Below are 15,369 nucleotides of genomic sequence, written 5' to 3' on the forward strand. Positions count from 1 at the left end.
GAGTTAAGTGCTAAACAGCCAATATGCCAGTATGCAAAGGACTCAGAAATCAAGAAATTTCAAAATTATCTAACTGCTTCTAATTTTCCACACATACATCATTCTTTATATTCACTTCATGATAGTTACACCCACAGGAGCCTACTTAAAAGCCTGGAAAAAAAAATGTACTTTAGGCTGTTTTGTAGCAGAAAAGATACATGATATCCTAATATGACATATTTTTCTTATGCAAAACAAGGTATTCTTTAATTCTTTCTGAAAGTATTGTTTGCTTATCATTACTAGTTGTTACTAGATTAATAACTCACTTTTGTCCATTTCAGTCATTACAATTATACTGAACTATAAGAAATTAGCTTTTGTAAGTCAAATACTGGCATTCAACTCAATGTAATCATGAAAAATAAGTTCCAAGATCCCAACTTGTTTCAGTTACAATTTTTTCAAATTCAAAATGTTTAAGACTTTAGCATCAATGTTAAAAGTGAAGCCCAACCAAAGATTAATTTAACAGCCCAAATCATTTAAATATTTCCTTGAAAAACTCAAAGATTAACACTTCATGTTACTTCCCCAGAATAATTTTACAGCTTTTTTCCACTAACAGTGGCCAATAATGGATTAACAATTTGAAGTAATGTTTTTCAATTGTCTTTTAATAAACATCCAATACTAAACATTTTGTCCAGATATACTTTTTATAGTTCTTTAATGAATAAAGGATATTTTGTATCTTCCCACTGCATTCCCCAAATGGAATTTTTAAATAACATCTCATCCCCACCTCTATACCAGGGAAGATACATTTCTCTCTTACACTAAGAATCACTGATCTAACTCAAAAGACCATCTCTTTCAAAAAGTACACTTAAACTATACATAATGAGAACCTACCATTTTCATCATTAAGACCTAGCTGACCAAACTTGTTGCGTCCCCATCCAAAGATAGCTCCAGAAAGGGTGAGTACAAAACTATGGGCTCCTCCTGCTGCAACTTGCATGAAAGGGATTCCAAGCAAAGACTTAAGCAGCTGCGGTGAAGTTTGCTTTTTACAGTCAGTACCTAAACCCAATTGGCCATATTTATTCTGTCCCCAACAGAAGACTTCACTTGCTGTAAAACAGTAATGGAAAAATTAACCATTTTTCTCACATGCAAAAAATTTAATTTGAAAATAATCATTTCATTTCAAATTTCATATAAAGAATATTATTTTGGGACATTCTGCCTATCATCAAAAGAATATAAATATTATTTTTAGCAATTATACTTATTTCTTATATGAACATATACTACTACCTAGAAGAACATTCAGTATTAGTACACTTTAAGTTTGATTGACTACACAGATGAACCGGTGAATCACATAACAAGGAATAATCTCATTTCCTTATGCCCCTCAACAGTCTCCTTTTAATATTCAAGTCTCATTTTTATTTTATAGTTTCTCCCAAGAGGCACTCATTCAAGCTCAAACTTTAATAACTATCTGCTGATCACATTCAAAATTTTAACACTAGCCCAAACCTCTCCTGAGCAAAAAACCCACATAACCCATTGTTTACCTGACACTATACTTGGAAATTTCAAAGGAACTTCTAACTTAGGATGCCCCAGACTGAATTCATGACCCCCATCCTACTTCCCTGGACCTCTTTCCAGTGCTCCCCATTTTGGTAAGTAACATCCTAAGTGACTCAGTAGCAAAAATTATAAACCTAGGGAGTCTTCCTTAATACTCCTCTCTCTTTTTTTTTTTAACCTCACACATATCCAGTCTATCATATATCACCAAATTTACATCCAGTTTTCTTCCTAAAGAAAAATACGGCAAATAGATCCATTCCTCACCATCTTAACTGATTCCTATAATAGTTTTCCCTGCCTGTCACTTTTGCTCCCATATTGCCATCGTATTTTGCAACTTTAGACATCCTTTTATTAAACTAACAACTGCACTAAATAACTGATACACTAATAACTGATTTTTTTAAGTTGAAACAACAAAATAGTACACACTTAAAAGTAAGCTTCCTTCCAAAAAAATCAGAATCCTGGTTCCTCTTTCAAGAGACAACCACTCTTTTTTTTTTTTTTTTGAGACAGTCTTGCTCTGTCGCCCAGGTTGGAGTGCAGTGGCGCAATCTTCACTCATTGCAACCTCCATCTCCCGGGTTCAAGTGATTCTCCTGCCTCAGCCTTCTGAGTAGCTGGGATTACAGGCGCGTGCCACCATGCCTGGCTAATTTTTAAAAAATATTTTTAGTAGAGGCAGGGTTTCACCATGGTGGCGAGGCTGGTCTCGAACTCCTGACCTAGTGATCTGCCCACCTCGGCCTCCCAAAGTGCTAAGATTACAGGTGTGAGTTACCACACCCAGCCTGGGACAATCGCTCTTACCAATTACTGGTAAGTCCTTCAAGAAATGTTCTATGCACATATAAATAGACATTTGTATACATGCATAGAGATATTGTAAAAATGCAGATTTGATAATATTGCTCACCCCAAAAAATATATTTCAGTGCTTTCTCACTGCTCTTGGGATAAACACTTTAAACAAGGCCTATAAGGTGCTGTATGATCTACCTATGTTTCCAATCTCTTCTCATATCAGTCACTCACTATACTCTAGCCGTATTGCCTTCCTTTATATTCTCCAATGGCCAGTTCTCACACACTTGCTGTTCTCTCTACCTAAACCTTTCCCTCATCTTTGTCCAGTTCATTTCAACTCTCTCCCAGCAGGAGCCTTCCTTCCCTGATCTCCCAGATTAGGTCTAGTACCGCTGTCCTATGTTCTAAATACCCTGAAGTTTTTCTTTATAGCCCTTATCATAGTATGTAATTATATCATTATTGAATGACTATATCACGAAGGCTAGTAAGTAGTATACTGCTTATTACTGTATACTGTAGTATGCCTAGTTCATACTAAGGGCTCTAAAAAATGTTTAGCGGCTGGGCACAGTGGCTCACGCCTGTAATCCCAGCACTTTGGGAGGCTGAGGCGGGAGGATCACCAGGTCAGGAGATCGAGACCATCCTGGCTAACACAGTGAAACTCCACCTCTACTAAAAAAAAACGCAAAAAATTAGCCAGGCCTGGTGGCAGGCGCCTGTAGTCCCAGCTACTAGGGAGGCTGAGGCAAGAGAATGGCGTGAACCCAGGAGGCGGAGCTTGCAGTGAGCCGAGATCATGCCACTGCACTCCAGCCTGGGTGACAAAGGGAGACTCCATCTCAAAAAAAAAAAAAAAAAGTTTAGCAAATGAATAAGATATTGCCTACACCACAAAGCTGAGTAAACAAACAAACAAAAAGGTCAATATGAAAAACTGTCCTCAGTAAAACCTTTGAGTTTAAATTTATGTTAGATCCACCTACCAAAATATCAAAAGAGGAGTTGGCAAAACAACAAAGAATACACAGAGATTCCATGTTCCTAACTGCCTATAGAAGTCCAAATTCCTTAATATGACATTTAAGGCCCTTTATAACAGACTTCTCTTTTTATTTCAGCCTAAACTGAAGTATGAGTATGTCTCCCACTCCCTCACAACACCCACATAAAACTACATGCCAATATTCAAATACACCACTTTCTTAACTCTATGCCTTTACACCAGCACAACCCCCTTAGCCACTCAACATTTCTCCTTGTTCTTCTCAACATTTCTCCAATTATTAATAAAAAAATTAATCTTTAATAAATCTTTAAAGACTTGCATCAAATACTAATCCCCTCCTTATTATTACCAATTATATCAATTAGAAACAATTATATCATTGTCACAGCATTTTACTTTTACCTTGTCTGAAATAGTACATATTTTTTTCTGCCTCAGACTACAGTTATTTACTTGGATGTCTGTCTCTTTCACTAGATTGTATGATCCCTAAACCTGTCTCTTAATTTATCTGTGCTTCCCCATGGTTCCTAGTGCTTTATTTGTAGTAGGCTTCACTAAATAGTAACACTAAATAGTAACAATGGAGCAAATGGAACCTATTTCTTCTTTTTTTTTTTTTTTTTTTTTGAGACAGAGTCTCGCTCTGTCGCCCAGGCTGGACTATAGTGCCGTGATCTTGGCTCACTGCAACTTCCGCCTCCCGGGTTCAAGCGATTCTCCTGCCTCAGCCTCCCGAGTAGCTGGGACTACAGGTGTGTGCCACCACACCCAGCTAATTTTTTGTATTTTTAGTAGGCACAGGGTTTTACCATGTTGGCCAGGCTGGTCTTGAACTCCTGAACTCAGGTGATCTGCCCATCTCGGCCTCCCAAAGTGCTGGGATTACAGGCGTGAGCCACTGCGCCCAGCAAACCTATTTATTTTAATGGTAAAAAACATACATATGGCAGATTCTTTACTAGCCCATGTTCCAATCCTTAGCTAGGATACTAGTAAGTTAAACTGGTAAGAGAGGAATGCAAACAAAGCTAATAAATATGATGTTTAGCCTTCTTTATTTCTATGCATAGAAAGTTCATCTATGAGATTAAATGAGATTGGGGAAGCAATCTTCCCCAGTTGCAGCTATGAAGAGTTTTTAACTGTTTAATAAACAGACACAAAAATCAATTTCATGTCTATATAATAAACAAAAAATGACACCATTCACAACAACAAAAAATCAAATACCTAGGGGAAAGTCTAATCGAAGGTGTATAAGACCTGTCCAGGGAAAACAAAATGCTAATGGAAAAAATTAAAGGGAGACTTAAATGGACAAATATACCGTGTTCTAGAATTGAAAGGTTCAATACTGTAAAGATTTTCCTTGAATTGATTTATAGAGACAACAAAATCCCAAATTCCTAGCAGTGTGTGTGTGTGTTTGTGTGTGTATGTGTGTGTACAGACTGACAAGCTAATTCTAAAAGTTATATGGAAATGAAAAGGATCAAGAACCAGGGCAATCTTGCAGAAAGATGAGCAAAGCTGGAGAACTATATGCACAATCAAAAAAGTATCAAGTAATAAAACTGAAGAGAAATAAAATAAAAACTAATGCTTACCTTTAGAAAGTGCAAGTGAATGATAGTAACCACAAGCAACCTGTACAATCTGGATATCTGACAAACTTTTAATATTTCTAGAAAAGAAGAAGACAGATCAAGACCAGTTAATTCCATTTAACAAATTGATCTTGAATGCTATTTATGTTATTTATTGATGGCCTACTATATGCACATAGGTCATATTATTTTTTTTCATACAAGCTCAATTTTAGCGTACCAAAAATTTATGCTAAAATCAGTAAACAAGAGCTAGATACAAAAAAAAAAAAATTAAAGGGGTGAAAAGAACACATCTTGGAAAGACAGTATTTAAGCAAAGTGAGCTATACTCATACCTCAAGTACTCCTCAGAGTGCTCTTATAATTCAGATATTTTCTTTCATTATAAAAACGTGTTTTTAAATCATCAGCTTACAGTTAGAAACTTGGCAATACATCTGGAAAGCAAATGTACATTATCTAATTTGTCTAAAATTGGTGTTTTGCCTAGTTTAATGCACGTTCTCCTTTATCGGGTTTCTTAAGAACCAACAGGGATTCTTGTATGTTCTACCAACTCTCAAATTATGAAACCTATTCCTTACAAGCTATCCTTTTGCTTTACGTCTAAATCAGGGACATTCAATTTTTTTACTCAGGAAATTTACTCAATTCACAGTTATAACAATCATTACTAATATGTTAAGTCTTATTTTCTTCTGTCTTGTATTTTGTCCTTATACTTTCGTAATTTCCTTCCCCCCTTTCCTGAGTTTTGTTTTACCACAACGCAACTTTAAAGGCTCATTTTTAAAACATTACAAAACTCAATTAACTTTGTATGTACATCAACCATCCCAGCATCTCCATTGGTTCTTTCCCTTTGCCTGGTCATGTTACTGTTTTTCCTGAATGAATGTTTTCAAGAAAAAAAGGGGGGATGCCAGATGCGGATTACAGGTGGGTTACTGTAATCCCAGCACTTTTGGAGACCAAGGTAGGCGGATCACTTGAGGTCAGTCAGGAGTTTGAGACCAGACTGGCCAACCTGGTGAAACACTGTCTCTACTGAAAATACAAAAAAAAAAAAAAAAAATTAGCAGGTGTGGTGGCACGCTGTAGTCCCAGCTACTCGGGAAGCTGAGGCAGGAAAATGACTTGGACCTGGGAGGCAGAGGCTGCAGTGAGCCAAGATCACACCATCGCACTCCAGAATGGGCGATAGAGTAAGACCCTGTCTCAAAAAAAAAAAAAAAAAAAGAAAGAAAGAAAAGAAAAAACGGGGGATGGGGAGGTACACAATATGTTTCTTATTTCCCTTTACCTGATACTGTCACCTGACCTGATTCTGCCATAAGAGAGTCCGGAGCAAATTCTGACCAGAGAGTCGACACACATGATTTTCGGGAAGCAGCTTCAGCAAATCAAAGTTTGAGCAGGAAAAAGGAGAGTTACTCTGATTCCATATTATTGTATTAAAAATATTTTTATTTAGTGAAGTTATGCTCTTAACTACAAAACCTGAGAGCTGTACTGCTACAATTTAGCAGAATCCAACAAATTAGCAGGATCCAATGCACCTTCAAATTTTCAAACTCAACAAAATGCCATTTCTTTGAAATAGCAAAATCAAACACTGGCAATGCAAACAGAGTAAGGAATAAAAAATACATGAACATACCCAACTGTGCTCAAATTACTAAACATTTACTGTTATTGTTTATGCATACTAGGCAGATGATACATTGACCTGTTCAGCATATTAAGTATTTTAGGAAAAAAAAACACTATTCTGAGTATCAAGTACAATTTTGCAAATGAAACATTTCAAAATACTACATTCTCACAGTACTGTATGTTTTTTCCTTCAGAGCATTTATCGCTACTAACCACAGGTACCTATTCATTTAATATTTGTCTCCTCTGCTAAACAGTAAGTTCTGTGAAGGCAGACTATGTGTTTTATACCCATGATAATGCCTGGCACCTACTATAGTGCCTAATTAATAGTACGTAATGAATATACTGTTAAAGGATAACTACATTTGTAAGGTCTTGGAGGCTTTAGTATTAGTCATAAAATTTGCCAAAAATTTTCTAAATTTGCATAGCAATTTATACTCAGTTACTCTCCTTTCCAAAATACTAACCTAAGGCTTGTAACACACATTAAATGCTAATATCTTTTACCATTATATGCTACAGAGACCAGAAGTATATTCTTCTGCGTCATTACTGTGTTAAAGAAAAAACTATCCCCTTTCATCTTCATATAAATGTATTAATACCCTAAAGAATGGGGGATATTGGCTTTGTTTTCTTTGTTTTAGCTTTTAGAAATTAAAAAATACTGTGAATGGTAAAACAAGGCTTCCCATGTTCCATTTTTTCTAAAGAGATAAATTAGAAAATAATTAAATAAATTTGTTAGAACTCATCAAAAGTAATCCCCTTTGTCACATAAAAAAGATAATGTGTTTAATCATTTCTAATTTTTGAATATTCAAATACACTGAACAGAAAAGCAAAAGAAAGGCTGGGCGTGGTGGCTCAAGCCTGCAATCCCAGCATTTTGGGAGGCCAAGGCGAGCAGATCATAAGGTAAGGAGTTCAAGACCAGCCTGGCCAAAATGGTGAAACCCCGTCTCTACTAAAAATACAAAAATTAGCTAGGCATGGTGACAGGCGCCTGTAGTCCCAGCTACTTGGGAGGCTGAGGCAGGAGAATGGCTTGAACCCAGGAGGCGGAAGTTGCAGTGAGCCAAGATTGCGCCACTGCACTCCAGCCTGGGTGACAGAGTGAAATTCCGTCTCAAAAAAAAAAAAAAGAAAGAAAAAGAAAAAAAGAAAAAGAAGCCAGAATAAATTTTGTAAATTAAAAAAATATATACACACACACACATTGGAGATAAGATTTATATACCCTTCCTTTGGGACTCTGCTAAAGCATATCAATTATGGAATATGTATACTGTTGTATTCTTCTGTTTTCCCAACTTAATGTGTAGCGGCAATATAGGCAGAAATCAGGCATTGTTAGTTATGTTTCTGAAGACAAAATTCCAACCACTAATGTTTAGTAAAAAGTTTATATTATGTAATTAAACATTTGAGGAGCTAAAGTATTAAATATTTTGCAATTAAACACAATTACCAATTTTCTATTTTCCAGTTAAGCCACAACTTTCCTAGTAATTTAAGAAAAATCTTAACACCAACTCATTTCAATTTTGAAAAATTTATCTCAGAATAGGGGAGTAGATTTTTAAAAAAATGAAAAATTTAGACTAAAAACTGACCTACTCTATACCATTAAAAACTACTCTTTAATTTTTCTTTTTAATCTATAATGTTCCAAATTTTCAGATGCTAAAATTAGGCAGGAATTGTAATATATCTTAAAATGAATAACAAGAAAATAAATTGTATTTTTGACCAAGCTAATAATTCAAATATGTTTAGTTTGTATAGTCCAGAAATTGCTGTACTCACAAAAATAATAATCTTATACTATCTTGCCATAATTTTTTAATGTATATGTCCAAGAAGCAGAACTTTTAAAAGATAAACTACATCTTTATTGCCAACAATTATTTTTCTGAAGTCTGTGTGCAAAGTTATGTGTTTCCACTTATATTAAACTACGATAATAAAATTTGGGTCAATTTTTTAAATAAAATGGTGTAATATATATTCTATATTAACATCTAGCCAGAAATGCAGGTCTACAGACACTATTTAAAATACTTGGTCTTTCCCAAAGTAGTGACTTCAAAACAAAACAAAATTAGAAGTAGGAAACAATTCATTATCAAACTGTTTCAGTTATATCCTATTGTTAATTTCACATTCTTCTTTAATATTATCCATCCACTGGCATTAAAAATGGGTTTTGTTGTCACAAAAGTATAACCTAATGCGAATCTTCACTTTTCTGATTACTCTTTTTTTTTATTTTTTGAGATGGAGTCTCGCTCTGTCGCTTAGGCTGGAGTGCAGTGGTGCAATCTCGGCTCACTGCAACCTCCGCCTCCCAGGTTCAAGCAATTCTCTGCCTCAGCCTCCTGAGTAGCTGGGATTACAGGCGCCTGCCTGGCTAATTTTTTGTATTTTTAGAAAAGACAGGGTTTCACCTTCTTGGCCAGGCTGGTATTGAACTCCTGACCTTGTGATTCACCCACCTCGGCCTCCCAAAGTGCTGGGATTACAGGCGTGAGCCACTATGCCCAGCCTATTCTGATTACTCTTACGAAAATCTATAAACACTAGGCAGGACACAGTGGCTTACGCCTGTAATCTCAACACTTTGGGAGGCCAAAGCCGGTGAATCCCTTGAGTCCAGGAATTTAAGACCAGCTGGGCAACATGGTGAAACTCTGTCTCTACAAAAAATACAAAATTGGCCAAGCATAGTGGTGCACGCCTATAGTCGCACCTACTAGGGAGGCTGTGGTGGGAGGATGGCTTGAGCCCAGGAGGTCGAGGCTGCAGTGAGCTGTGAGCATGCCACTGCACACCAGCCTGGGTGACAGAGTGAGACTTTGTCTCAAGAAACAAACAAACAAAAATCTATAAACACCAATTTTTAGAAATCTGTTTATAGATACTATATGTAAAATTTACAAAGCTGGCTGACATCTCTAAGCCACCTAGAAAAAGCCTTACATCTGAAAAATGATTTGGTACTGAAATTAAAACCAAAACTCTCTTGGCACTCTTCCTTTTATAAAAAAACATTTCCACTGAAATACTAAATGGCCCTTTAAAAGCTGGTAATATCAGTAAAAACTATGTATACGTTACAACAAATCAGATCAAGCCATAAAATTTTGAAAAACTGAGAAGGATGAAAAGCAGAAATACCTTAACATACAGCTTAAAGTTAATACAGATGTTGAGCACATACAAAAATAAAGATGTTGAAACCAAAGAACTCAAGTAAATTCTCTTTCAGGTCCCCATCCAGGTTCATAGTTGTTATTATTGGACAACCCTCATATAAATTTTATACATAATAAAATTCTCTCCTTATAATTAACTTTCTTTCCATTTATTATTTACCTATGTATTACTGACTAAAGTCCCTTAAAAGTGAACAGCAACAAAAGTTTAAGTATGAGAATCATCAGACTGGTAGAGTAAAAATAAAGGAAACTAGAAAGTTTTGCCATGAATCATGGTTTTGAGAATACTGACTCAGAAGATCTAACATGCAAATCTCTTTTCATCCTAAACACAGTTTTTTAAAAATCTTAAATTTAAAATCCTGTTCTATAAGAATTACTATTACTAGGAAAAAGAACAAAAGAGTTTAAAGAGGTCAGAATTTGTGTAAATTTTAAAACTAAGTATGAGTTAATGTATTATTTATGTATCTGAAATAAACTGAATACTGAAATCTGTATATTTTTACCTATGTAATTCATGCTGTTAGAGTTTTTAATATTAAAACAATGATTAGCCAGGCACAGTGCTTCACGCCTATAATCATGAGTACTTTGGGAGGCCAAAGTGGGCAGATCTTGAGGTCAGGAGTTCGAGACCAGCCTGGCCAACATGGTGAACCCCCATCTCTACTAAAAATACAAAAAATTAGCCAGCTGTGGTGGTGGGCGCCTGTAATCCCAGCTACTCAGGAGGCTGAGGCAGGTGAATCGCTTGAAACCAGGAGGTGGAGGTTGCAGTGAGCCGAGATCACACCATTGCACTCCAACCCAGGCAACAGTGCGAGACTCTGTCTCAAAAACAAACAAACAAAAAACGATTATGCCCTATGTAACTGTGTAAGACTAAAACATTGATGAGGCACTGCTTATTTTTTAATTGTGAAATAATTATATGATGAATTAATTAAATTGGGCTCACTGCTATGTACAAAGTGGAAAGTGACTAAATTCTTTTTACAGTAAGCATGTTGGACTTCTATATTCAACAGAAACAATAAAGACTAAAAAAAGGACAAGTTAGTGAAAAACATTCAACAAACCAATATTTAATAAATATTTCAATAGCAGGAATACTCAAGATAGTAGTAGTTTAAATTAGTATAACCCACTAAAAAAATTTGTAATGAAGCAAGTATTCCCTATGCTTTTTTTACAGACATAAATTCTATTGATTATAGAGAAAATATAGAGTATATAAAAATAGCAAATCAATCAATAGCTCAATCAACATCATAAGCAAGAACCAAACTCTTATCAAAGGACTCAAAGGGGAGAAATAATGAGATGTCAACTCTTACAGGCCCAAAGATAAGCAGAACAATTTAGATTAACAAATTTATTTTAAAAGATTGTTAAGGACCTCTTTCTGGTCACCTTTGTTACCTGGGTACTCTGATGCATTCCTCTGATCCTACCAGGCCAAGCTGTCCATCAGAATCGAGACCCCAAGCATACACCTGGCCTTTGTCATTTAGCGCTAACGTATGAGCTTCTCCACATGAAACAGCTACAATATTTTGGGCATCCAGGGCAACAACCTGCTCTACAGAAATCAAGAAGAGAAATATTGCATTCTAGTACAGAAATCAAGGAAAAAGATATTGCATTCTAGTTTTGAACTTCCAATAAGAACAAAACACATTCTTCATTTTATACAAACAAGCTAAAGAAATGCTTAAACACACACTAGATATAACCAGTTATTTTGAACTATTCAACAAATATGTTCCAAACGTAATTCTCATTGTGGTAAACCACAGATAAATATATCATAGGGCATAATCAACTCAGAATATCAAGTGACCTGAACATTTTGGGAAGAAGTTAAGGGTTTATAAAGATTCTCTCAGAATGTACCTTCTATTCAAATCTATTACTAATAAAAGAGTCCAGGTGAAAAAAAAAAGAAGAAATCATTTAAATAACCTGGGCTGCTTGATTTTAACAATAAGATCATAACTGACACATATATTACAATGTATATGCTGCCATGAAGTGATTCTGAAATTAAGGAAACAGGCACGGTGTGCTGGCTCACGCCCATAATACCAGCATTTTGGGAGGCCAAGGAGGGCGGATCGCTTTAGGTCAGGAGTTCAAGACCAGCCTGGCCAAAACGGTGAAACCCCATCTCTACTAAAAGTACAAAAATTAGCTGGGTGTGTGGTGGTGCACGCCTGTGATCCCAGCTATTCGGGAGGCTGAAACAGGAGACTCGCTTGAATCTGGGAGATGGAGGTTGCAGTAAGCCAAGATCATGCCACTGCACTCCAGCCAGCCTGGGTGACAGAGCCAGACCGTGTCTCAAGATAAAAAAAGGAAATTAAGGAAATAATCTGAATTAGCAATTTCTGAATGGAAAACAAATTTTTTAAAGATCTCATAAATAAAGCATCTATTAGATATGGTGAGTAGAGAACTGAAAGGCAGTAAACCATGACTGACAGGGTTTCCATTTGTGGACTGCCAACTTAATATCAAAAGATACATGTAGTTAAAATATGTTCAATTTTTAAAACAGAAATTAACTTAAAATATTGGCCCTTAAAATACTGGCCCTACTACCAGTAGCCATCAATTGACAAATCAATAAGGAAAGTGAATTTGTTTCTCTTAGTCCTCAAGATGTGTTTGTCAGGTTTTTTTACTAGTATCACAAGTTTTTTAAAAGATACCATTTAAAATTAACTTTCTTTCAGCTTAATAAGAAAGCTATAATCATTGTCTTCAACAAACTAAAAGTCTTATGTTGAAAGTGGTTAAAACTGGATCAATCAGGGTTTCTTCAGAGGCATAGTTTAGCTCAATTTACAAATGCAGCTGTTCAATAATGAAACAGACTGAACCAAAGAGGCTGAAATTCCTATCTATACAGAAATTCAAATTGTATCTAGATTACTATCTTGCATTTTGGAGAGGGAGGTTAGCCCTATATAGCCTCTAGGAACCTGCACAACTCTAATGATGTATTAAGTACTTACCTACTCCTGAAGCTTCCAGTACATGAAGTTTATTACACTAATATCTCATTTTTTGTATAGCTTTTAAAAAAGTATTTTACAGAAACATACAAAAACAAAAAAGGCAAGCAAGATATGACACACACTGTTCCAAAAAAAAAAAAGAAAAAATACTTAGAAGCATCATTTGTTTATATCAAAACATTCCCATAAATCTTAATTATGAAGAAGTAAATGTTTAAAAGATCTGTTATCTCAGAGGCTCCAGAAAAAGTCAAGTTCTCTCCAGAACAATCCTCAAAGGAAGTAGCAGAAAATGATAGGATGACAAGACAGGTAAGTAAGACTGCTTGGTTGGTTCAACAATAACAAATTAATAGCATCAGCTATAAAGATAGCAATGTAAAGTCAAAGGTACCAAAGGTACCAAATGTCAATGTAAAGTCAAAGATAGCAATGTAAAGTCAAAGGTACCAAAATCCACGAAACAAAGAAGCAATCATTTATATTAAACAGTTGTATTGTACACTTCTTGTGCTCCAAGCACTGGAGAGAGAGAGAGAATAAAATAAGCGTCCTAGCCCTCAATGAGTTTACAGCCTATGGAAAAGGAGGTGAGATAAAGATTGTGACTAAATGCTAAGATAAACATATACAAAAGGCATTAAAGGAATATGAGCTATTTATGTAAATCTTAAAAGATAGTCCAGGCGAGGTAGCTCACATCTATAATCCCAGCACTTGCAGAAGCCAAGGTGGGAGGATCACTTGAACCCAGGAGTTTGAGACCAGCCTGGGCAACATAGTGAGACCTCGTCTCTACAAATAATTTTTTACAAAATTAGCCAAGCGTGGTGGCACACATCTGTGGGGAGACAGAGTGGGGAGAATCACTCGAGCCCAAGCAGTTGAAGCTACAGTGAGCTGTGATCACGCCACTGTATTCCTTCATGGGCTATAGAGGGAGACTGTGTCTCCAGAAAAACAAACAAACAAACAAACAAAAAAAAACATGAAGAATTTTGGAAGACAGTGAAAACTAGCTAAGTCCTGAGCTGAGGTAAGAGAAGGAGTCCATGTATCCATTTGAGGAAATTTGAATTACTTGTTATAGCAAAACCAACAGCAAAGTCAAAAAACTGATGAAAAAAATCAGACAAAAAATAGTATTCATCTCAGACAAAAGAATAACATCCCCAGTTTTTATTGACTTCTTAGGGAAAAAAAAAAAAAGGTCAGTAATTCGCATGACAAGTGGGTAAGAGATGTGAACCAAAAGTTCACAGAGAAAGAAACAGAAATGGCCTGTGGAGAAATGCAAATTCAAACTACACTGAGAAGCCAATAATAGATTCACTTAGAAAACTCATCAAGCTATACATATATTTTCAATTTTGCACTTTTCCATATGGGTTAAGCTTGAATAAAAAATCTATCAAGAGAGTAAGAAGACAAGCCATAGCCCAGGGGAAAACATTTGCAAAAGATACAGCTGATAAAGAAGTATTAATCCAAAGTAAACAAAGAATGCTTAAAACTCAACAATAAGAAAACGAACAATCCTATCTTAAAAACAAGTAAAAGACCAAAACTGACACCTCACCAAGGAAGATAAACAAATGGCAAGCAGGCATACAAACAGATATTTAACTTATATGTTCAACTTATGTCCCATGGGAATTACAATTTAAAACAACATACCACTACACACCTATTAGAACGGCCACAAGACAAAACACTGACAACACCAGTTGTGATGTCAAGGATGTGAAGCAACAGGAACTCTCCTTCACTGCTGGTGGGAATGCAAAATGGTACAGCCACTTTGGAAAACAGTTTGGCAGATTCTTACAAAAGTAAATCTACTCTTACCATATGACCCAATTCCTTGATATTTACTCAAACACTTATGTCCACATAAACACCTGCACATGAATGTTTTGTTTTTGTTTTTTTTTTTGTGAGACAGGGTCTCACCCTGTTGCCCAGGCTGAAGTGCAGCGGCATAATCATGGCTCACTGCAGCCTCCCAGGCTCAAGCAATCCTCCCACCTCAGCCTCCAGGGTAGCTGGGACTACAAGCACATGCCACCATACCCAGCTAATCTTTTAATTTCTTGTAGCAACAGGGTCTCACTATGTTGCCCAGGCTGGTCATGAACTCCTGGGCTCAAGTGCTCCTCCCACCTCAGCCTCCCAAAGTGTTAGGATTTACAGGCATGAGCCACCACACCCAGCCCACACAGAAGTTTCTAGCAGTTTTATTCATAATTGCCAAAACCCAGAAGCATCCAAGACGTCCTTCAGTAGGTGAATGGATAAACTGTGGTACATCCAGACAATGGAATACTTAGTGCTAAAAAGAAATGAGCTACCAAGCCATGAAAAGACATGGAAGAAATTTACTTAATAGTAAAAAAGCCAATCTGAAAAGGCTACAAACTACATGATCCCAA

The 15,369-nt window shown here is 36.1% G+C and overlaps 1 protein-coding gene across 23 annotated transcripts in view; it reads right to left on the reverse strand.

Annotated features, from left to right (window-relative positions):
• HERC4 (HECT and RLD domain containing E3 ubiquitin protein ligase 4) overlaps window positions 1-15,369 on the reverse strand; it is a 153,379-nt gene that overhangs the window by 111,163 nt on the left and 26,847 nt on the right. For 12 of the 23 annotated variants that reach the window (XM_047424999.1, XM_017016041.3, NM_015601.4 and 9 more), the window contains 3 exons: window positions 11,337-11,496; window positions 5,026-5,102; window positions 898-1,119 (listed from right to left, as the gene is read on the reverse strand). In XM_047424999.1, coding sequence (XP_047280955.1) covers window positions 898-1,119; window positions 5,026-5,102; window positions 11,337-11,496 — 459 coding nt within the window. The other 11 variants (XM_047424998.1, XM_011539597.4, XM_011539593.4 and 8 more) reach the window with 3 other exon arrangements.

The sequence above is a fragment of the Homo sapiens genome, chromosome 10 (assembly GCF_000001405.40).
Source record: "Homo sapiens chromosome 10, GRCh38.p14 Primary Assembly".
Classification (NCBI taxonomy): domain Eukaryota; kingdom Metazoa; phylum Chordata; class Mammalia; order Primates; family Hominidae; genus Homo; species Homo sapiens.